Below are 24,774 nucleotides of genomic sequence, written 5' to 3'. Positions count from 1 at the left end.
GGATCCACCGCCACCCTTGATACCATCCCTCGGGTGGGTCTGTTCAGTGTCCCAGTCAAGCTGTGAGCTCCACGAGTAGGGAGGCCTGTCTCCCTCCAGCGTTACGGTCTTGATGCAACCTCCGCTAGTTAAGAAAGCAGAGTGTGACCATTGCTTTAGGCCTCTACTGGAGGATGGGCCAAGAAATGCCAGTTCCTACCACTTGTGTTCAGGAAGCCTAGGCCTGCCAAAGATAGAAGGGAGAAAGACCCTTGATAGGATGGGATCCTCAAGGAAAGCACTGGCAGAGGGTAGCCAGGCTGGGGAGAAGCTCGGGGTCAGACAACACTGCAGAGCAGCCAGGAGGGGAGAACTTGTTGCACCAGGGAGGGATGAAAAGCAAAAACAGAAAAGGGAATAAGGAAAGGCATTTAGGGAGGCAAGATGCAGTGTAATCTGAACTGCAAATCCCCCTCCTCCAGGCTCCTTAAGGCTTTTACTGTACTATAAAAACCACTGCCGAACAGCAAGCCTGCTTGATGACAAAGAGAGATAATTGGCTCTCATGCAGATTTAAGCCCAGAGTTATCAAATAATAATAGCACTCAGAAAGAGACACAGGCAAATGGGCCTGGAGAGCCCGCTTCTTCCAAAGGATGAGGATTTGTTAAAAGTATCTAAATTATGTTCCCGCAATGGAACAGGGAAATGGGGCATTTTTTTAAAAAAAGATTTTCTTTTAATGCTTGGATACATTTTTAAAAGTTCCTTTATAATTAGGGCTGTAATTTATATAATTTATTTTTAAAATATCCTTTTTTTAATTTCCACCCGGTCCAGTTAAAGTTGAACTGAAAAGCCCACAGTAAATGATTTTTTTAATAAACCCATTTAAAGGAGCCCCAACCTGAAGCAGAATAGATATGTGGATTTTCAAAGGAGAGGGGGAAAAATCATATATTGAAAAAATAAATTTCCTAACCCATTTTATACCCCAGATTTTATTATCACCGGAAGGTTTTTAAAATTCTAATTCCCTTTGCTTTTCTGAAGTTGTTTGTTTACCGCCCAGGCCTCCTTGGGCTTGGGACCGGGAGCTCAATTGGTTGGTTTCAGTCTCCTCCAATTCCTCGTGTGATTGTCTGTTCATGTGTCTGCTTTGCTCTTCAAGGGGGCTCTGAGCTCCCTGAGGTCAGATACCAGGCTCTCGGAAGAAACTCTTTTCCTTCTCATCAGCATCCAGCACAGAGCCATGCATGCAATAAGTGTTCAATAAGTGTTTGCTGGTGATGTGCCATACTATGAAGAAGTCCTAACCCATGATTTCCATGAAAGCCCTGGGCCAGAAAACAGTGTTCCTTTTGCAGGAAGCTTTGGTTCCCATTGTAATGCCCTCGTCCTAGGAGAGAGAGGGGAAGAGGGCCGTACTTTCAGCTGTTAGTCAAGGACCCCTCAGATGATGGGAGAAGTGGAGCAGATTACCTTGAACACCAGGGCCAGAGAGGATCAGAGCCTCTAGTTGTTTGAGATGGGTCAGGGTACAGGAAATGCAGAAAGAGGTACCAGGGACCCAGTGCTCTGCTGACCAGTAGACCAGAGAGATCTGTGTCTCCACATTTCTAGGGACTTGCCCTGAGCATCTGCGTTTGCTGGACTTGGTAGAGCCATCACCTCAGAAGTCACCATCCCACACCTCTGTCAGAAGGTATACACACACACACACACACACACACACACACACACACACACACGGCACCACACAGAAGGGAAGAGGGACAAAATTAGGGCCTCATGGACCCATCAGAGGACAACACAAGAGAGGTAGTTAGGACTGTAACTGCTGGAGCAAGACAAGGCATGCAGAAGTTCATGAACCCTTCAGGGAGGCTCCATAGAGGAGGGAGCACTGCGGATTGGCCTGAAAGTACAGGTTGGATAAAGATAAGCAGAAAGTGCTAGGGAGGGTATTCCAGGAGCTGGAACCAGGATGAGCATGGACAATCTGGTAGGAATGAGCAGGTGTGTCTCAGGAACAGTAAGAAGATGTTCTTGACAGAAGCTTAGTAGGTAGAGCTGGAAAGAGAAGGTTGGTGCAGACTAAAGAGGCCCTGGAGTGAGTGAAAGAATGGAGACATCAAATCCATTCCATAAGAATGGTCCACGCCCCTGCCCAGTAGCTCTCCATGCCTTTCTCTTTGGAAAGTAAAGCTCAGACCAGAGGAAACCCATATTGCTGCCAATCCATGGACACACATTTGCTGAACACCTGCTGGACACAGAGGAGCCTGTAAGAATGAGGCTTTCTCCAACTCTCAGTTTGCTCACACTGTGCCTGGGAGTCCATCCCACCTCCCAGATGACAGATATGGATTGAAAGAGAAGGTCCTGCATGTGGCAGAGTAGGGATGGACCATTAGAGTTGGCAGAACTGGGAGACACTTTCTAGAATGGGGGATACCACAGAGTTTTCCTTGGAAGACAAAGCGACCCATATTGAGGCAGGGAACAAAGGGCTGTTGTTCCATTCTCAGTTCCCGCAGCAGCACCACACATGACTGGACCAGGTGGTTGGTGGATGCTAGGGAAGGTCATGGGTTTCAACTCTTCTCCCAAACCTCTAGAGAAGGCACTTTTCTCACTTTCGCCTGGGTCTCCTGTGCCCCTGAGATCCACCATGCATCTCCCAGCCTCTGAGACCCCACACTCCTCAAAATTCCCATTCTCCAGCTCTCTGCTGTCATCCATGGGCCCTGAAGGCCAATGACACCTGCAGAACTCCCGGGAGAAGGGTGTTTTTACAAAGACAAGGGCAGAGAGGAGAAGGAGGAGGAGGAGAGAGAAGAAAGAAGAGGAACAGGAAGAGGAGGAAGAAGAACAAGAGGAGAAAGGAAAGTAGAGGAGAAAGTATAGAAGGACTAAAGGGAAGAAGAAAAAGAGAAAGCAGGAGGGAAGAAGGAGAAAGGGGAGGAGGAGGAAGAAAAACAGAAAGGAGTCAAAGATAAAGAACAGAAGAAAGAAGAGGAGGAGAAGAAAGAGATGGAGAAGGAGGAGGAAGAAGAGGACAAAGAGGAGGAGGAGAAGGAGGAGAAAGAAGAGAAGGAGGAAGACGAGAAAGGTGTCAAGATAAAGGGTGGAAGAAGAAAGGACAGGAGATGGAGTAGGAAGAAAAGGAAGAGAAGAAAGAGAAAGAGGAAGAAGAGGAGGAAAATGAAGCATGAGGAGAAAGGGAAGAGAAAGGAAAAGAAGGAAAAAGGGGGAGGAGGGAGAAAGGAAAGAGAAAAGAAGGGAACCGGAGGAAGAGAAAGAGGAGGAGGAAAGAAGACAATGCCTTAAATGGTGCCTGGGCTTTCAGAGAGGCCGCAGCTCCACGGAACTCATCTTGGAGGGTGGGTGGCCGACACGGCCCCATCACGCTCAGCACATGGACATTGGCCTGGATATTATGAACTGCAGCCAAGAGACCAACAGAAAACAAGAAAGGTGGCTGAAGAGTGACTTGAAGACAGATTCTCTTCCAAGGGCCACAGGAGGAGGGAAACACTCTCGCCCCCTGCCCCCCAACTGTCCCTGGCCCTCCCAGCCCAGCGAAGGACAGCAGAGCACTGGGCCCCAGACTGCTGCTTTGTTGCCAAGGAAACAGCAATTACTCTGTGAGTTGTGTACGGTTTTTTCTGTCTTTCTTTCTTTCTTTTTTTAAATTCTGGGCCTGATGAACTGCAGTCGTGGCTGCCCCCTCCTCTATCCCCACCCCCAGCCCCAGCCGCTGACTCTGCATTAAAGGTCGGAGGGGCTGTAACAGTTGCTTTCAGAAATGACAGATGCCCCTGCTTGGGGTAAGCATGGTAGGAGAGAAACCATTTGTCAAAGTATTTATAAAGTGGGTGGAGATGCTGAAGTTGTATTCCCTCCAGCTTTACAAAAAAGAAGAAAGAATGAAAGAAAAAGAGCAGAGAGTGTGAGGGAAAGGATAACCAGCAACTTATCCCACCTACCTCCTGCCTTACCACTGGGAGATGTTGACTGAGCGCTAAGTGCTGCCATGGATGCACAGATGAAGAAGCCCATGCTCCCACTGTTTGGCGCTCACAGCAGGAGGAGATTCACATCTGGGTAGTCAATGGCAGTGTGAGGAGTGTGTCGAATGGGTATGTTAGACCAAGAGTGTCACAGGCTGAGTTTGGGGAAGGGAGAGTGAAATGTGGGTGAGCGAGACTAGGATTCAAGTCCTGAGGGAGGCCCAGGCTGAGCTGGGCCTGAGAGGAGAGCCTGGGGAATGCCAAGGACTTTGGGGCTGACCTTGATGGGCTAGAGCCTTGTGCAGGGGACCCGGACGCGGGGAGACCCAACCGTGCCCCAGGAAGCTTGGCTTGCTGGAAGCATCAAGGCTCACATGCTCATGAGGGCAGCACACAGTGGGCACCTGACCGAACAAAGAGCCTGCCTGTGGAGGGCAGCTGATGCATACCTGTGGCAGGATGGGTGAGTGAGTAACTAAGGACATGCAAGGTTTCGGCTTCCAACACGCAAGGATTTTAAGGAAGGGAGAGGTTGGTGAAAGGTCCTGAAAGAGACCATCCTCCCCTTTATTTATTCATCATTCAATCTTTTAACAAATCATTACAGAGCACCGCTGGGGGATGGGGGACACAGGAAGGCACCTTCTGGTGGGGATGGTGATGACCAGGAGGTGGGGTGATGGGTGACAAATAGTGCCCCTGGGTAATGGCCTAGAGGCTGCACAAGTTACTCTATGGAACAGAAAACAGACCACCCAGGAAGGCAGAGCTGCCTCCAGAAGGCCACCTCCAATGTCACTCTCAGGCACAGCCCCTGGGTCAGCACTGACTGTTGACACATCTTCTTGGATGTTTCTGTTATGTGGTGAAAGGGGGAGCATGTGCACGGCTAAGTGGAAGCACCTGGAGAAGGAAGGGAAGATGTTTCCAAAGGAAGCCCAGGAGCCAAGGAGAAAACAGAAGCCCAGGGCAGAGAAGTTACTGCTGGACCATCCTACAGGGAGAAACTCTGGCACCATGAAGTCCACCCCCTCAGACCACCAGGCATGTAGAAAGGCGGGGCAAGGGCCAAGGGCAAGTCGAGTTTCATTCTGTAAGTGGAGAGCTCATGATGGGGCTTCAGACCATCCTGGTGAGGTAGAGAGCAGAGACGGATTGCACAGGGTTGCCTCTAGAAGTGAGGGAAACCTCTGTGGCTGATGGAAGCCTGCTGGGGTCACTAAGGAAGCCTAGAGGAGCAGGAGAGCTGAGGCACCCAAGTGCCAAAGAGACAAATCTGCACAGTGGATCAATGCCAGCTTCTGGGGAAGAAGGCAGGGGTCCCTGCAGCAGATTGGCCAGCTGGGTCCAAGTAACATTCGGCCAGGTTGAGCAAGGAGAAGCCTGGCATGCACTGAGGAACTGTGCACTGAGGATTCTGGGCTGGAATATTGCAACTCGTGGGGCAGGAGGAGGGTAAAGTTGTTGTGCTTTAGTGTATTCATTTCCCCCATGCTTTCTTTTCTTTACTCTTCTTTTCTCTTAAACATTAACCACATTACAGTGTACAATTCAGTGGCATTTAGTACCATCTCTGTGTTGTGCAACTATCATGCTCAAGTTCTGAGACATATTCATCATCCTAGAAGGAAACCTTCGTGTGCATTAGGCAGTTATACCCCATTCCTACCTCCTCCCAATCCCTGGTAACCACTAATCTTCTTTCTATCTCCATGGATTTACTTATTCTGGATGTTTCCTATAAATGGAATCAATAATATGTGACCTCTTGTGTCTGGCTTCTTTCACTGAGCATATTTTCAAGGTTCATCCACACTGTAGTGTATGTCAGAATTATCTTCCTTTTGATGGCTGAATAATATTCCATTGAATGGATATACCATATTTTGTTTATCCATTCATAAGCTGATGAAAATGTAGGCTATTCCTACTTTAGGTTTTGTGAATACTGTTGCTGAGAACATGCATGTACAAGTATATGTTTCAATACCCATCTTTAATTCTTTGGGGCATATACCTAGGAGTAGAATTGCTAGATCATACGGCTTATGCCTTCTTATTGTTTGTCAATGTCCAAACTGACTTGTCTGTCTCAAGGTCCCCACCTTGATTCAGATGAACTCAATACTCATTGAGTGTCTGCTGTGTCATGCAATGCCTGCTCTCTCTAATCCTAGGGGCAACCCTATCTGATCAGTTTTATTCTCATTACCGATGACAAAGCTGAGGTTCAGATAGATCAAGTCTTGGGTCAACCAAATGAAAGATGCCAGAAACTCAGATGCCAATTCCTGGATTTTTTCACCACACACACATGGCTTTCCCACATGGGTAGGGCACCCAGTGCCTGGATGTCCTAGCTTCGTGGTGCTTTTCTGCAGAACTCAAAATACCTACATATTATAAATTTAGATCAATTCCATGTGAAAATGGTATTCTCTAGAGTCTACTATAGATAAGTGGTTGCAGGTGCTAATCTTTGTTTTCTTTTCATTAGAGGAGGGGGGGATATAAAGTGATAACATTCTTCCATTAAATTAATTTTTGTACAAGTGATTTGGGGAAAGAAAAGCTGAAGTCCATTTTGATGGCTGAACCCTTGAGCCCTGTCTGTGGGAGGGAGACTGATGACATCCCAGAACAATCGAGATGGGGCTTTGAGCTGGGAAGACCACATTAGGGCAGGAGTGGTGTATGCAGACGTCCCAGGAGGCAGAAGAACAGGTTGAGGCAGAAGAGAGGTGACACTAGTGACAGCTGAGCTGCCACAGCAGAGATCACCCTTCTCTCTCCAAGCATACAGATGCTAGATCTCAGGGTTTGTGTCAGCACGTGCACAGTTAAACTGGCTTGGCTCAGAGGGAAGAGGCCTCCCTCCTGCTTCCACCACCCCTCCTGCTTCCCCAGCTAGAAAGGAATGGTTAGCTAAGGAGACCAACCAATGGCCGCAAGGGGGGCTTCAGGCCCCCAGTCCACCAGACCACTTGAGCTCACAGCATGACCTTGAGCAGCACACACAGAGATGTGATGGGAGCAGCTGTCTCATGTCCCCTGCAGCTGCACCTGTGGCATTTGTCAGCGTGGAGAACAGGCATGCCCTACCTATGCATGCCTAGTGCCATCCATCAACCCAGCAGGAGGTGAGGGGGGTGCCTCTCCATGCTTATTTCAGTAGCTCTCCACCTAACCCCCACTCCGCAAAAGACCTCAGCTGCTGAGTGTGTGATGAGACCACAGCCCAAGACCTGGACACCTGCCCTGTAATTCTGTCAGGCAATTAGCACAGCAAATGGGCCCAGAGGGGCCTGCCTCTGGAGAGTCACCCTCCTGCCTCTGCACGCTCTCCCCTGGCTCATCCCATGTCCTGATTCCAGACTGATGATGACACAGACATGCCACTGCCTTGCTAGCACTTACCAACCCCAATCTCCACTGGCACCCACAGCTTCCAATGTCTTAGTCTGGCCTTAGAGATGCGGTGATCAAGCCCAGCCTGTCTCATATGCCATAGCAACTCAGTATCAGACTTCAGCCAAGCCAGGGAAAAGAAATGGGAGAAAGGAGAGGCCCAGAGGTGCCTGGCAGGGAAAAGCGGAGAGGAGGTAACAGCTCCCAGGAACTGCAGGAAACACAAACTTGGCGAGTGATGGCGAGGTCTGGACCTGGGCTGGGGCAGGGGCTGGTGGAGAGGAGGAATCCACTTTGGAGATGGCTGTGGGGTAAGTGAGGATGAAGGGGGAGGAATGTAGAACTGCTGGGTTTCTGGCTCGGGGGTGCTGATCACCAGCGTGGCAGAACCCAGGAGGATGGGCAGATGTGGGCACATAACAGGGGCCTCTTTGCACAAGTTAAATGTGAGGGGCCCTGGGCCCTCAGGCATTGTGTTCAGCAGGTGGCTGTGTGTCTGAGAGATGAGAACTAGCCATGCCACAGTGGGAGCCGCTGTGATTCCTGTGAAAACAGTGAAGTAGGGGACAAGCAGCCCAGTATAAACCCAGGTCTGCTCTCTCACAGCTGCCTTCTCTAGGAGGAGCCCGATTTAAAGTGATGCCTTGAACACTGAGATTTGACTAAGGAGGATGGCAGAGAGCAATATCACATAGCAGGCAAGCCTGAGAAGTGTGCACTGATTTTAGAGGAAATGGGAAGTCATGGAGGATTTCAAAGCAAGGAAGTGACAGACCAGAACCTGGCCTTAGGACAATCACTGTGCTGGCCTGAAACAGAGACGCTGGAGGCCAGGGGATGAATTAGGAGGTTATCAGACCAGAGAAGATGAGTGAGGAGATAGCAGACAAGAACATGCACAGAGAGAGGTGAGATTTCTGTCCCGAATAACAACCTAGTAAATCAGTTCTAGACAAATACAAATGCACCCATCTAAGGTGAGGGGCAGAAGAGAAGGGGAGGGGCCTCCTCCCCACCCTGTTCCTAGCACTCACTCAGATGACTGTCAGGGTCTCTGGGCCTTGAGCAGTGACTGAGGGGAGCATATGAGACCATCGTGCTCAGCTGGGATCATGGTGAACGCCTTGAGTGGGCAAGACAGTTCTCCAGCAGGGTAGGGAAGGCAAGAAGCAGCAGGGGACAGAGAGAGAGCCCTGGGTCACACCCTGAGACACCCTCCTGGCAACTGTGACTTTAGGCCAACAATTCCATCTCTCTGGCTCTAGTTTCCCTCACCTGAAACCATCCATTCAAGAATGTACAGGTTTCCTCACTCCTTTTCATCTGGCCCAAGGAAACGAGGGTGCCTGACCCCCTTCCAGCTCCCGGAAAGTGAGGAGCAGATGAGACGGAGGATGGAAGGGAGCTTAGGAAGCAGAAAAGTGCCCAAGGAGGAAACAAACTTTTCAAAGTTAGAAAAGCCATAAAATGCAAGGCGCGATGCTTCCCCCCATTTCCCAGGGAAGCGCCACATTGCGTTTAATGGCGCTGCTGCCGTTGGGCTGATGTGCAGTGGGAGTCTTTTGGGGCTGGAGAGTTGAATGGCAAAGGCAGGCAGGCAGGAGCATTCCAGGCCTGCTGGATGTGGGGGCCTTGTGGGCGACTGCAGCTCAAGTTCAGAGAGGACACCAGGCCCATGTGACCGCAGGAGACCCTTCCAGTTTGCCCAACCTCCCTCTCCATCTGCCTTCCTGGGATGGCATAGATGGGCTGTAAATGTGTCTTGAGAAGTCACCTCTGTGCCCATGAGGTCACTTGTCCTGGCAACAGCACAAGCCAGCCCCCTCTTGGAGGGGCAGATGTAGAGTTAGCAGGTCCTGTGATAGCCCATGGGCTTGACCTACAGGGAGCTGGCTGGTCTGTCCACATCTCCACATCTCCCTACACTGCGGGATTTTTTGGTCGGCTGTGTTTTCCCCAAACAAGCCTATACAATTAGTTTCTTCTTGTTTCCTAAATTATTTTTGCCACTGCTAATTATTTCACACTCCATGTACAAGAGTTATTGGGGTGGGTAATGGGACGCAAGGGATGGCTTTGCAGGAGCATCGCGGGCTTCAAGACACGAAGGCAACTTTGATTTGTTTTTCTGCTCAGCCACCCGCCTAAGAGAAGGAACAGAGAATGCCAAAAGAACAGGGGGGCGGCGTTGGGGGTGGGAGGGGAGGGGGGAGAAACAAACCAGGGCTGAGGCTTTGAATGGCAGCTCCTACCCACTACTCTCCCTGGGCCTGGGAGGGGCAACTTGCCCGCAGATCAAGGCCACCACCCTCCTGTCCCATGGAAAAGACGTGCCTCATGGAAAAGACTTGCTCCAGTGTGGTTCTGGGAGGACTGGGCAATCCAGAGGACACTTCTGCTTAATGGCATCACAACAGGAACACATGTGGGGCCTGGCAGTGTACTGGGAGCTTCACATGTGTCACAACAGGCCTGGGGCACAGTTCACACTATCGATCCCCCTGTAGAGTCTGGGCAGTGGGGCTAGAGAGGTTAAGGAACTCCTCCAACATCACATAGCCAGGAAGTGGTAGAGCCCAGATGGGATTCCAGGTCTGTCTGATGCCAAAGCCCATGTCTCTAACCACCCTGCTCCCCTGCCAGCCACTGAGGTCCTCTGTTCACAAAAAGGCTGGGGAGGATTCCCCTGGGAGAAGGGCACTCACCTTAGGCAGGAAGGACTTGGTCCCCACAATCACCCCACCTGGCCCTGACCCACCGACGTTTCGGCTCCCAAAAGCCCACTGTGCCTGAACTCCAGCCAGGATAGTTATGCCCATTCCCATGTTCCCCTCTAGGCAGACCCCATGGTGGATGTGACCCTTTCAGCTTAGCTCTGCTGAAGGGTTTGGAGCTTTTCCAAAGAAGATTAACCAGGAATCTAAGCGGAGATGCAAAACTAGAAAATAGAAAAGTTGCTGAAAGAAAGGGAGTGTGGAGACGAGACTGCTTCTTGGAAGCTACAGGTTGGCCTGGCTGGCCCCAGTCACCAGGCCCATGGGTCAAGCAGATGTAAGTTGGTCATCAATCTGGCCTCAGCCATGCGAGACACCAGTCATATGAGGACCTCACTTCCCTCTGGGACAGTTGCCCCCTGCCCCTGCTTCTCCTAATAGGACAGTTGCCCCCTGCCCCTGCTTCTCCTAACCAGAGAACCCCAAGGCACTTCTCCTGCCTTTCTCAGTCTCAGCCTTGGTGTCCTGCAGTGGCTGGAGGAGGATGGGCTCTGGCCAGCCCTAGGACTCCTCTTGGCCTTCCCGTGCTCTGGCCCAGGCCTGGTGGTCACCATCCTCACTGGCCCTCAAATTGTTTGTGGCTCAGGCCCTTTTCTTTTGTAAAGAAGCCTCTTGCCCCAGCCAGATGCTGAGACTTACTCTGTAGATGCCAAATTAGATCCATAATTCCAGGTAGCGCTCTGACCTCACCTCTCGAGGATCTCCATATTTCTCACAGACACGCCAAAAAATGAAAATAGAGCCAGTGGACTAAGTGAGAAAATGTGTGCTTAGTGCTAAGCACCGCCCCTCGCCCGAGGCAGTGCTTCATTGTGCTGGTGGTGACTGGTACTCTCTGATTACTGAGAGCCAGCCCTGCCTGTACACCAGGCATGTGTGTTCTCACTTAACCCTCAGCAAGCCAGGGAGGTAAGTAAGTGCTGCTAGACTCCTATTTTACAGACGAGGAAAGCAGCTAAGAAACCTGCCCCAAATCACATGCTAAAAGGAAATTGAGCCAAGCAATGTGCAAGCCCCATCCTTTTTTTTTTTTTTTTTTTTGAGATGGAGTCTCACTCTGTCACCCATGCTGGAGTGAAGTGGCGTGATCTCGGCTCACTGCAACCTCTCCAGAGTAGCTCGGATTACAGGCACGTACCACCATGCCCAGCTAATTTTGTATTTTTAGTAGAGACGGGGTTTCACCATGTTGGCCAGGCTGATCTTGAACTCCTGACCTCAGAAGATCCACCTGCCTTGGCCTCCCAAGGTGCTGGGATTACAGGCGTGAGCCACTGTGCCCGGCCGTAAGCCCCATTCTTAACCATACCATCTGAATGGAAGGGGCCAGGCTGCACAGATCAGCTCATCCAACTCCATTCCTCCCTATACATAAGGCCACAGGCATCCAAAGAAGAAAAGTGGCTTAGCTGTGAGCATAAAACCCACGTTCATGATTTCTAGCCCAGGTCTCTTCTAAGAGAAAGCTCTTCCAGGAACTCCCATCCTCTCCTGGCCCCAGGAGGGGCTCTCTGGAAGCCACTCTCTTGGCCCTGAATCTGGTTGCTTCTTACTGGAGAGGACAACTGAGCCCCGGCCTTACTTACCCACTCCAGATGGGGTCAGGGAAGGAAAAGGAGAGTCTTGGGAGAGCATGAAGCAGAGTAAATGGAACAGGGACCTTGAAGGAGACTGCCTGACATTCAAGCGGCTCTCAGTACTCCCTGCTGCCATCTCATTTGAAGCCAGCACCACCCACCCATGTAAGACAACTAGGGCAGGACTCAGCATGCCCATTTGATGGAAGGGAAAACTGAGACCCAGAGAAGTGAAGAGATTTATCAAACCTTGGTGGCAGAAGTGGTGCTAGCACCCCTTTTAGTGACTTTTCTGAGAATGTCTTGTCCTCCACGCATGAGTCTCAGAAAACAGATGCTAAGCATTCTGGGGAGGTGACTTGTGAGCTGGGACCTTGGCTTGGAGTGTCCCTGGGCACACAGCTAAGCACAGGATGTGGAAGGGGCTCTTCTGAGGGAGGAAGTAGCTCTTCTGCTGACTGGGCAAGGTTGGGACAGCACTCGTGACTCGACAGCAGGCTCTGGGCACCACTTGGGCTTTGTTGGCTGGAGTGCCAGCCACGGGCCAGGAGTCATAAGAGCTCGCCGAGCCTGCCCTCAACCTTGGTAAACCTCATGGGAAAATATATTCTCCTATTCTCTGGCTGCAAGTGCTCCTGGAACAGGGGCTGAGCGCAGAGCCCTGGGCTGACCTTTGAGGCAGACAGGTGGGAAAGAATCAGGCACTGCCCCAGAACCATCCCAGGGGAGGCCAGGGGAGAGAAAGCGCAGTATCTGGCCTTTAGACACACACACATGCATTTAAGTCCAAGCCCTGCCTCCCCCTAGATAGTGAGTGACCATGAGCATTCCATCCGACCCCTCTGTGCCTCATGGGTATCCTCTGCACCGTGGTGGAAATGTCATCTGCTCACAGATGTGTGATGATGCACCCACCCGACCTGGTACTGTGAGGCTCTGTCCCTCTAGTGCCCATCCTTCTTTGGGCAGCTAATGCAAAGGCTCAATTAGGAAGCAAGGAAAGCAGATCCGACCCCAGCACTGGGTGCCTGGGACAGGCCTCTAGAGTTGAGAATGGAGGGAATCAGCGCTACCTAGAGGGCTTGGGAGGGCTGCCTGGACGAGGTGAGATGTTACCGAGGCCTTGGCTGATTGGTGGGAATTCACCAGGCAGAGAGAGGGATGGGGCCCATCCTTAGTGAGGTGAGACAGGGAGCTGGGCACAGGCCAGGCTTGCAGAGGCTTGAGGGAGATCAGGGAGGGAAAGAAGGGAAGAAACCCTGCAGCTGGCAAGGGGCTGCCTTTGCTCCCCAATGGTGCCCAGCAGTGCAGTGGGGCCCGGGCCACACTCAGGCCACCAAAAGCAGATACTAGCCTTGCTGGAGGCCTGAGCCTTTCTCCTGGGCCACTGTCCTGTCTCATGAGATGCCCTGTACCACCTTCCCGGTGAGAGATGATTACATCCTTTTTGAAAAATAAAGAACAGGAGGAAGAAAAGAAGCAGAGCCCTCCCTCTCCTTTCTCCCTCCCACTCTCCCTGCCCCCCCTTCCTTCCTCCCTCCCGCTCTTGCTCTCTGTTGCTAAGTAGATGGTAGGTTTATTTGCGGCTGTCGGTTCCCAGTAGAAAAATTTCGTCTTGGAGAGCCGCCTGGATGGAAATGGCTTCAGCACCGATTTCATGGAGAAGGTCTGTGCGGTAATTAGTGTTCATGAGGGAGGAATTGGACTGGCAGGCTCCCAAGAAAACTACTCCCCAAAAGTTAGCTCGAGTCCAGAGGGCTACATCAAATCCAATTCCAGAGTGCGCATCTCAACCGCTATATTTAGACCCACAGACGAAGCGGGCAGCTCAGTGGCTCGAGGTTCACGGGGGGCCTGGTCATGGGAGGCAGAGGCAGCCCATGCTGCTGAGACCACGAGTGATGCACAAACATGATTCAGCCGAGGGCTACTGGTTCTCCCTTAGCCCCATGTGTGTCCTCCCTCTTCATGCCCCAGCTTCCCCAGAAGAGAACCTTGGTGAGAGAAGGGGGAAAATGGAGAGAGAAAGAGAGGAATGGAAGGAGAGAGGAAAGCGGGAGGCAGCCCGTGCTGGTCAACGTTGGAGTGCATTTCTACAGAGCACACTGGCTGACTGCAAATGCCCACTGCTCCTCCGAGTCCCACACATAACTTGTTCACTCCAACCACTGCAAGGCCCTCCCCTCCTCCTTCTTCCTACCTACCTCCACTGAGGCCCAGGCAGCCTGCCCAGCCTCCAGGAAGGTTCCCCAGATGCCCTGTTTCTGTCTATGGCTTCCTCAGGCCTCTACAGTCTGAAGCTTGGTTACTGGGCCACACACCAGCTTACCTGGCTTCCTCCATATCCCTCTGTCCCAGGCCCATCCCCAGGCAGGATGCCCCTGAGGTCAGGTGGTCTTTCTTCTTCTATTTCCCTGCCTTCTCTTCCCAGGCCAGGGCTGAGCAATTAACAGATACCCCAGACACTTAATGATGGAATGGAGACCCGCAGGCCCCAGAGGGCTGCCAGGGTCTGGGGCTCCACGTTGTCCCACCTGAGCCCTCAGCTGAAGGAAGAACAAGTAGAAGCAAGATTAAAAGCCATAGCTCTGACTCATCCTTCCCACTTTCATTCTCTGGAACTTTCCCACATCAACCTGCACTTAAGCAGAGATTTTATAGATAAGGTGGCTAGGCCAGGGACCTGACAGAAGGACCCTATCCTGGCGTCTGAGCTAACGTGCAGCTTCCAAACCAGTGTCTTGTCACAATGCCATGCTGTGGGGGCCTTTGTGCCCAGGGTCTCCCTATGGTTCTGCATCCCGGCCACCCCCACCTTCTCTCACTCCAGTCCCAGACCTCTGCTCTCAGCTGGCCTGAATCCTTGGCCATGGCCCACGTCTCTGGCACAACTAAGGCCTCTGATCAGCCCCACACCTCACAGGAAGGGTAGAGCTGGGGGTGAGCCTCTGCTCAGCCTCAGATTCCAGGCAGGAGAGGCCTCAGCTGGACCTTCTATCCACCTCACCCTACGTGCTTCAGCCTCCCCAGTGGGGCTGGGGTACATTCAGCTTAGCTGAGACACAGAAAGGTTCTAAAGAAAATGACCAGGTGTGGTGGCTCACACCTGTAATCCCAGCACTTTGGGAGACCGAGGCGGGTGGATCACGAGGTCAGCAGATCAAGACCATCCTGGCTAACACAGTGAAACCCCGTCTCTACTAAAAATACAAAAAAATTAGCCAGGCATGGTGGCAGGTGCCTGTAGTCCCAACTACTCGGGAGGCTGAGGCAGGAGAATGGCATGAACCCAGGAGGCGGAGCTTGCAGTGAGCCCAGATAGCACCACTGCACTCCAGCCTGGGCGACAAAGTGAGACTCTGTCTCAAAAAAAAAAAAAAGAAAAAGAAAAGAAAAGAAAAGAAAATGAGCTAGAAGGCAAAGAGAAGGGGTAAACTGAGGGCACAAAGACAAGATGTACTCAGCTGCAGGAGTCGGAAGAGGTGCTAAGGTCAGGCTGCAGGCTGGCTCTGCCTGGCACAGCTCACTAAGCCTGGGTCTGGGTCTCCACAACACCCCTCCTCGGCCCTACTCCTTCCCATCCCTGGATCCTCTCAAGGTGAAGTGAAGACAGAGAATACAGCCCTATGCAGCTGTCGAACTTGTGAGCATTGCACCTGTGCCTCCCTCTCTCCCCAGCCATGGCTGCCGCCTGCCGTCCACCCAGGCAGGGGCAGGGGCACTGGCTGCACTAGGCCTACACCTCCTCGCATGAATCTGTTCTCCCGATTCCCTTCCATTTGGTGCACAGCCTTGGAGACACACCTCCATCTGTTGACTTACAGTCAGCTTCCTACACAGTTTGTCTGGCTTGCTCTCCCTTTGCCAGGGCGGCACTGGGCTCCCCAGCCTTACTCAACCCAGGAGAAGGGTGGTGCACCTGAGCTCTAGCTACCGTACTGACCAGATGTGTGTTCTCGGGATGATTGACTCGTGCTCCTTTCCCTGGTGTGTAAAAGAGGGACGTGTACTTCCCATGCCCCACTCCTCCACTCATTCATTCATTGATGAGTCTGTGCCAAGGACCCACTTGGTGCCAGGACTGTGCTGGATGCTGAGGACACAGACTCATGGGTAGGGATCATCAAACCCACTTTACAAAAAAGGAAACTGAAGCCCAGAGAGACCTATTGACCTGCTGGAGCCCTCCAGTCAGCACTGTCATGCAAACCATTGACCATCCCTCACCCCATGCTTCCAGTCCCCATGCCAGGCCCTGTGCCAGGAGTAGGGCAGACAAGAGGCATGCAGAGGGGCCAGCCCTGCCATTGCAGAGCTCACAGGGTCCGCTTGAGAAGTCAACAGGTAACACGGTTGAGAGTGCTCAATCCACACTCCTTCCCTTCCCATGAGGGACCTGCCACCCTCTTGGGGCTCCCCGTCCCTCCCAGGCTGTCCCCTCTCAGTGCTGCCAGGACCCTGTTCTGCTCCTGTGTGGAGATCTGCCTCCTGTAAACCTTGTCTGCAACGCCCCAACTTTCCTCTCTCCAGCCCTCCCCAGCCCACATTCCCAGGTCTTGACAATTCCTCTCACAAAAGAAACAATTGGCACTGAGGTGCCTCTTTGGGGATGCATGAAGCCAGCTCTTTGTCACCTAGGCCCCTGCCAGCTCATTACCGCCTCCTGTCATTAGCATCTTAGACACACACACACAAGGGAAACAAAACACACCAGCATCCTAGACTCTCTAAGCAAACCATCTGTCGTTCTGAGCCCCGACACATGCTGGCCTGTGCTGTACAGGAAGTGCAATGAGGTCCCTGTCCCCTATGAGTGTGTATGAGTGTGGTTATAACCAAAGAACACACACAGGTCCTACAAAAGGAAGCAGACAATAGACAGTACAAAGGCCAAAGCCATTTTTCACACTGTAGGGAATTTAAGCATCACATCACAACTATTACTACGGACAACAACAACAAGAGTAACACTCCCCATTAATTATATCCCAGGTGCTCTGCTGGGCACTCAGGACCCCAGCAGGTGAGTGTCATTATCCCCATTTCACAGATTCTGGAAGAGACTCTGTAAACTACCCCAGGGCTCCCAGAAGAAAGCAGAGGCTACTGTCATAGCCAGACCCACCTCCCTCCCAGGCCAGGTGCAACCCTCTCCCGGAACTCCAGACACCCTGCGGATGGCAGCAATCAGGCCACAGGGGTTGGATGGCTTTCTCAGAGTCACCAGCTGGCTGGTGACAGGAACCTCAAGGTCCCATGTTACCACTGTGTAGGGATGGGAAAAATGCTGCAGCCTGGGATGGTCGGGGGAAAATTAAATAGGTGGACAAGAGATAATATAGGTGCTAGTCATGAGACAAAACAGAATGACAGGAAGGGAGGGAGGGAGAAGGTAAGGGAAGAGGGAGGAGTCAGGCAATGGAAAGGACATAAAGAAGAAAGAGAAAAGGAAGGGAAGAGGAGGGGAGGGGAAGAAAGGGGAAGGGAGGGGAGGGGAGAAGAGGGAAGAGGAGGGAAGAGAAGGGGAGATGATGGAAAGGAGGGAAAGGAAAGGAAAGGGAGGGGAGGGAAGGGAAGGGAAGAAGAGGGAAGGAGAGGGGAGGGGAAAGGAGGGAAGGGAAGGGGAAGAGAGGAGAGGAAGAACAGAAAGTGAGAAAGCCAAAGAAAGATGTTTAGGAAGGCACCTGGGGGAGCTTTGAGGAGATGGTGCTCTTACAGGCTCCAGCCCTTCTAAACCACTCCAGGGCCCCCAAACCCACTCTGTTCAGTCTTTGCATATGCAGAGCTTTGCCCTAGCACACCCTTCCCTTAAGGCCACTCTGGGTTGGTGATTCACTCAGGTGTCCCTGCACTGAGTTCTCCCCCAGGCAGAGTTGAGTAACCTCCTTCTCAAGGCTGCAGAGTCCAGAGTTCAGGACATGGGCTCTGCAGGCAGCCTACCCATCTCACACACTGGCTCTATCAGGGACCTGGTCACAAGATCTCGGGCAAGTCTTTAATCTTTGAGTGACTCCATTTCCTCACCTGTGAAATGGGGATGATAAGTCTATTTTATAGACTTACATTAAATGAGTCGAAACATATAAAGCCCTTAGAACAATGCCCAAAATACAACCAAAAATCAGTGAGTGTTTGCTGCTATCATTTGTGCCACCAATAGGCCCTGCACAAACTTTGGCTTGATAGGTATGTTGGTTGCACACTCATCACCTGGCCTTCCAAGCATGCTTACCAATTGTCTTTCTTTTTTCTTTTTTTTTTTTTTTGAGACAGAGTCTCGTTCTGTCATCGAGGCTGGAGCACAGTGGTGTGATCTCAGCTCACTGCAACCTCTGCCTCCCGGGTTCAAGCGCCTCTCCTGTCTCAGCCTCCTGAATAGCTGGGATTACAGGCACATGCCACCATGCCCAACTAATTTTTGTATTTTTAGTAGAGATGGGGTTTCACCATATTGGTCAGGCTGGTCTTGAACTCCTGACCTCGTGATCTGCCCGCCTTGGCCTCCCAAAGTGCTGGGATTACAGGCCTGAGCCACTACACCCAGCACCAATTGTCTCTTTTAAAGCAGGGGGTATGTCTTTCATGGCAAATTGTGGACCATCAATAAATGGTTGCGAAATGAATGAATGAATGAAGCATATTTTCACTCCATCCACAGAAGACAGCACCTCCAACCCCAGTCACATGGTTTGTTGGGTCTTGTGTACCAGTCAGCTGATAAGTTGGCTTCATTTCTCTCTTGGTGGGCTCTGTGGGCATGTGGGTGGTTCTCTGGGAAAAGAAACTTTAGAGCCAAATGCTAGGCTCTGTCTTACCCCATAGGCCAGGCTCCCCATTTACCAACTCCTCTCACCCACCTTGGGCACTCCTTGAGAGTCAGCAATGATTGCAGGATGACTTGGAATAGCTCTAGCCCTTCCCAGGACCGGGGCCAGCTGCCTCTAGAGCAAAACCCAGAGCCCCTACCCCTCTGAAAAATGAGAATGCTGCTTCCTTAGGGCCCCTCTGGATTTGAGGGATTGACTCATTGAGGCTGGCGTCCCAGTCACAGTTGCTAACTCCTTCTTCGCCGCAGCCCTCAGGTTAAATATTGCTAAATGCCTGTGATTGAACTTACCGTATTGATGTTGGGTGCAGCCCAAAGCCCGGCCAGAACAGTGGCTTAAATGGCCAAGATCATGAGAGAAAGACACCCTCTATCGACAGCTGGACTGTGGCCTACCAGGACAGTGTGAGATTGTTTTTCTTCTTTTAAAAAGAAAGTCACATTTTCCAAACATTGATCCTGTAATATGGGACTCCTGGCTATTGGTCTTTTCAAAATAGCCTGTCTTGGATGCTGAGGTTGGAATTTCTTGGTTGGTGTGCTTCTTTTTTAAAAAAAATTTATTGTTGTTGTTGTGTTGTTGTTCTTTAAGTGAATTAGAGCCTGTTAGGAAGAAGCCAGAGGACAGAGGCGAGATTATTTCACCTCACCAGGCAGGTCCTGAGTGCCACCATGTGACCAGACCCTGCAATCAAAGAGGGGTGGACACACCTTCCCCTCCTGAATTTTGTTCAGCTCAACCCAGCTACTCTTATGAAACCCCATCCTGGGGCTTGGTAAGGGGGTTCCAGAGAAGAGGTCCAGCCCTGGGCGCTGTGGTCTAGTTGAGGGACAGGATTCTCACAGATGAGAACAGCAGAAAGCTGCTCAACCAAGCACTCGTTTGAGGGCATCAGACATTTTCGAAGGAGACCCAGCAAGGGCTGAGAAGCTGGGAGGGTTACACTGAGGAGCTGCAGCTTGAACACGGTTCAAAGGGTTGGAGGATCTGATGGAGGGCCCAAGAGTGGGGAAGGCACTCCAGACATGAGGAGGGAATAAGAAAAGGCCCACAGTGATATGGTCACACACTGCTGGGGGAGGGAGGCATGGCTTGGCTGTGTGACCCAAAGGGAGGGTCTGTCCTAAGAAGCCACAAAGGGACTCATAGGTCCACTGCCTTGCTGTTATGATCTATTCTCCTTTCATGGGAGATAAGAGTCAGAGAAGCCCATCGCACCCCCCAAAACACACACACACACAAGCACACATGCACACAAATCATGAGGGCAGAGAGCTGTCCCTGTGGATATATCAGGGAGTGCTTCAGGCCTGGGGATAGGGATGGGGACTTCAGAGGCAGCCTAAGGACAGAGTCCTCTGAGCTTCCTTCTGCATGGGGAAGGCACTCCCTCTGTGAAAAATGACCCCCACCTCCACTTCACCAGTCCCATGGCCATGAAGAGCTCCAGCAAGGGGAATTCTCTGCCACTCACTCGGCAAGTATTTGCTGAGCTCGCTGTGCAGGTATAAGACACACACACAACCAAGCAAATGACACTAGCCACTGGAGCCTCAGATGGGGCATGGTGTGATTCTTATGTGCTGAGGAGGTCAGGGTGTCAGGCCAGGGCTGAGCCATGTGGCTGAGGTCAGCTAGTGAGGCTCTGAAGTTCTGAAAAAACAGGCCAAGAGGGAGAAGGAATCCAGGCAAGGGTGGAAGGAGTGAGGCAGAGGCTCAGAAGCTGTTGGAGAGGAGGGAGGTGGTTTCCCTCCCAAACAAGTGAAGATGCCTAGCTTCATCGGGGACCCTGTCTGTCGCCCATATCACGTAATTTAGCGATGGTTTTGGTCTTGCCAAGGAGGCCTCTGAGAGCCCCTTCCACTGTGGGCCGTCCCCACTGACTTGAGCCTGGCTTCTCACCCTGGTCTAAGAGAATTCAAACAGGAAGATCTAAACTCCCCTACCAGGTTCATCAGAAAGGAACATAGTTCAGTTTCTAGGTTCTAGCAAAGAATTTATCCTGGCACTCATGTGAATAGCAAATGCCCCAAATGCATTTGAAATCCACCCTTGATGCTCAGCTAGAGACCTCTGCAGAGGAGCCCATGGCATGCCTGCCTTTGACATTTGAAAGGGCACCTGTGATAGAGGAAGGACAGGCACCACCTCAGCTGACTCTACTTGGGTGTCTGCGGGAAGAAGATGAGGTCACCCTTGAGCCCCTTATCCCAAGAGAAGGCCACAGGATTGGGGGTGGGGAGGGAGGACCTCTCCCTTCCAAGGACCCTCGTGTCTCCCTGAGCATGGCCCGTCCTCACACTGTCCTCAGACACTGCCTAGGGCTCCTGGAGGGGAAAGCAGGAACTGAGCCCAAAAATAGCCATCAGGATACCAGAGTCTCTGCTCTCCCACTGTGGCCACATCTCAGGGCCTCTCCCAGTCTCAAGCTTCTGAGCTGTCAGATGCCGACGATACGCACCCCATCCCGAGCCTATGCTGAGGTGTAAGAATGGTGAGATCATGCACATGACAGCACTCTGGCAAATCAAGGCCCTCTGCCAAAAAAACACACATAAGGGAGCACCCTCATGCTCTCCTGGGGACCAGTAGGAGCTGCTGGCCAGAGAAGAGGTACAGAAGCAAGCCCCTGGCTGCAGGAACAAAGCCCAACAAATGTGGTCAGCTGAGCAGGCTTCACTTCTGCAAGCCCAGGTTGGAAAGGCTGACACCCACCCTGGGCCAGTCCCTACTTTCCTGAACCTCATGGGCCCATCAGCCCTGACCATAGATGGAGGAGCTCTTTGCTGAAAAGGGGGACAGGCCATCAATATGTCACGTCCACTTTGTCTTTTTTCACAGTGCTATAAAGATGGAGCAGCCGACACCAGACATGTAATTCTCAAGCTTTTAGGGCATAAACAAGGGCAACTGGAAAGGATGGACACTTGGCAAAGGACCCACTGGCTGGTTCTTTAACCCTCTGAGGTCTGCACCTCCTTGTCCAGAGCCACTTAGGTCCCTCGGTCTGAACACGCTGCCCTGAGCTCAGCAAGAAGAGAAAGAGAAGGTTGGTCCCTTTCCTGGGAGATTCAAATCTAGCTTGAGGAAAATCTGGACCACCCCAGCTCTGTGCACATCTCTGTCTTGTGGGTACAAAGGGCAGAAAGAGTCACAGTGAGCCATTTATTTTCCCATACCACACAGAGGAGTTTAACTCAACAAAACTCATTCGCACTCTAGAATGGGCCATGTTCTTCTCTGGAGTTTCTGATTTAAAGAGAGGAGACTCTGGAGGGCAGTACGGAGCCTGAAAGAAGAATGCATGGCCAAGGGGGAGATTCCAGCACTTGGAGAGCCCCTAAAGAGGAGAGCAGGCTGCAGCCTCTGATGCATTGGCTTAGGGGACCATCCATCTTCCCCCTCCCCCACCTCTGCAGTCCCCATCACCCCCACCCTGCAGGCTGCCTCCTCTGAGGAAGACGTATGGCTCCTGCTACCAGGGGCCTGAGCAATGTGTTCACTTCCCCAGACCCCATGGCCCACCTCCCCCACACCCGCATCCCTGCAGCAGCCACTTCCTGCTGCCACTCCGCTCACTCTCACCCAGCCAGAGGCAGAATGGAGCTCAGCAATCTCTGCATTCTACGCTGTCTGCCACTGGGGGAAAGGGGGCCCTGGGGTGAGCTACTCCTATAATAGAGTATTTACATTCTGGGTGAACACACACAAATGCAAGGCAAAGACGTGTATGATTCTAACTGCAAAATGAGACAGACCATTGCCAAGGGCTATGAGAGAGGTTGGGGTTGAAGTAGTCAGGGAAGGCTTCCTGGAGGAAGGAAAACTTAGACACTCCTAGAAAGTTACGTGGGCTCTAAAGGGGTGAGGCATGGGGGAAGGCAGCAGAGGAAAGGATGATGTTCTTAGGCTTGGGTTTACCCCATGGGGGTGGAGAAGCAAGAGGAAGTCAGAAATTTATTATGTGGGTGGGGAATCACTGTGTCACATGGAGAGAAGACAACTGCAGGAATTGTTGGAATACCAGCAGGGAGTACTTGGAGGAGTGGGAAGAGAGAGGGAAGAAGATCCAGGTGGAAATAACTAGGGAAACAAGAATGGCCAGAAAAGGTCCTGGGAAGATGGCAGGAGGGTCAACCTTGGCTGGACACACAGAGAAGAGCAGAGAGAGAGGCACAGACCCATGGGGTCTTTTTCCCGCCTGTTACTCAGTCCTGCTGAGCCCCAAGGGCCCAGCCTCAAGTTGTTCATGGTTGAGGTAAGAAAATGAGGCTCATCCTTGAGGCAGGCCATGGGCAGAGGCCACATGCGAATCCATAGAAGGTGAGACCAAAGTGGCTGAGGTAGATGCTCAGGGCTTCAGCTTGGAGTAAGACCTAAGAAGTGAGTCTTAAAGGCTGTGTAGACTCCAGCCGGGTACTCGAAGTGGGAGGACATTTGCAGAGGAAGAACATGTACATGATGAGCTGCTCTGTAGCTGCCTCTCTCTCACGTGGCAGCAGAACATCTGCTTCAAAAGGTACCAGGAAGACTGTCTTTGCCCACCCAGAGCACGAAAGACAGAGCCTGGATGGGGGAACAGATGTGACCTCAGAACATCAGTAACCCTCTTCCCAGGGAAGCTGGTGGACTTTCCCTCCCTCCCTCTTGCGATCCACTCCCAGAGATGCTACTATAACTTCTCTGCAGTGGCCTGCATGTTTTTTAAATCTTCCAGGTGATTCTCAGGTGCAGCCGGGGGTGAGGACCACTAAGGAGTGATGCTCCCAGGCTGTGATTTCAGGCACCATGGCAGGTGGATGAGTGGAGATTTGGGGCAGAGGGGCCTTCAGGGAGCCCCTTCCTCGGCCCCTAGGTCTGGCTAGTGGGCCTCCTGCTACCTTCCCATTCCCCACCGCCCAGCTTTCTCCCACTTCCTCCAGGCCGGCCAAGTCCAAGGCCTAAAGGATCTGATGTTTTATTAAAATCCAGACCTTCCTATTCTAGGGCCACCTTCCTCTGGCTAATTCTGTAATTCAATTAGTAGCAAGGCAAGACCCAGCTGGGGTGGGAGGAGGGAGAGCATCACATCGGGAACCTTCCCTTCCGTGATGATTACACCCCAGGCTTCGGCCCTGTTCAGAGTTGGGCAGGAAATTGTACTTCCTTCACTTCACAATGACAAGGGCCTTTTATCCCGGCACATGGGGGCTTTGTAAATTACTGCCATCTCCGTGCAATTAATTCTGCTGCACTGTGTTTTCCCCCCACATGGGAGAGGGCACCGCCCACCTTCTTGGCCACAGCAGTACCCCTTGCACCATGGTCTGCACGCTGCCCATGTCGGAGAGGGGCATCCGCCACCCCTGCGTGCACCCTAGCCCGACAGCACCCTCCCGCTGCCCACGCTGCCTGCCTCTCCCTGGCCCAGTGCTCACCTCTCCTGCCACACACTCCTTCTCCCTTCCCTCCTCACTCTGCCAACTTTTCCCAATCTCCCTTCAGTGCCCCAATCTTGGATCTCTTTCCCCCACCCCCATAGTCCCTCTTGGTCTCCAGCTTGCAGACCCCTGAATGAGGAGCTGGGCCCTCCACTTAGCCGTATAGACATAGAAGAGCCCGTCTCCACCCTCACTGAATTGAAAGTCTATTCAGAGACGAGGCATCAAGCTGGTAAATGGAAGGGATTAAGTAAATAATAATGGTAAGTGGGAGAAGGTGACATGGCTGAATAAGGAAACATGTGTGCCGGCCAAAGTGTTCAGCGTATGTGATAGAATCTCAAGTATTAGAGGACAGGCAGGTCTCTGCTGGCCAGAGGAGGTGGGCACGGCGTCCCTCTCAGGTGAGGAGAGGAGGTGGGCACGGCGTCCTCTCGGGTGAGGAGAGGAGGTGGGCACGGCGTCCCTCTCAGGTGAGGAGAGGAGGTGGGCACGGCATCCCTCTCGGGTGAGGAGAGGAGGTGGGCATGGGGCCCCTCTCGGGTGAGAAGAGGGTGCCATAGGGAGCCCAGGTGTCAGCTGCTGAGGGCAGCACTGTGGTGTGACTTCTCACCCTGCAGTTCTGTCACCTCTCTGCCCCCACCCCACCTTGGATGATTTCCAAAGCTGTCTCTGCTCCAGAACAGGCTGCGCTTCTATCCTGCTTGATCCCGTAACTCAGGAAGAGGTGGGACAGAAAGCGCTGACCCCTAACGGGTGGTAGACTCCATTAT

At 52.1% G+C, this 24,774-nt stretch overlaps 1 protein-coding gene across 119 annotated transcripts in view, besides 1 other annotated feature; it reads left to right on the top strand.

The window, feature by feature from the left end:
- The window catches only part of CELF4 (CUGBP Elav-like family member 4), a 322,955-nt gene that overhangs the window by 50,127 nt on the left and 248,054 nt on the right, over nt 1–24,774 (top strand). The window lies entirely within an intron of this gene.
- Nucleotides 15,649–16,148: an enhancer, noted in NCBI's record as "H3K4me1 hESC enhancer chr18:35079487-35079986 (GRCh37/hg19 assembly coordinates)". NCBI's record gives its function as "activates a minimal SCP1, AML or CMV promoter by ChIP-STARR-seq in primed H9 embryonic stem cells {active_cell/tissue: H9 hESC(primed)}" and the evidence as "EXISTENCE:reporter gene assay evidence [ECO:0000049][PMID:30033119]".

This window comes from Homo sapiens, chromosome 18 (assembly GCF_000001405.40).
Source record: "Homo sapiens chromosome 18, GRCh38.p14 Primary Assembly".
Classification (NCBI taxonomy): domain Eukaryota; kingdom Metazoa; phylum Chordata; class Mammalia; order Primates; family Hominidae; genus Homo; species Homo sapiens.
This window is presented reverse-complemented; position numbering and strand designations above follow the sequence as displayed.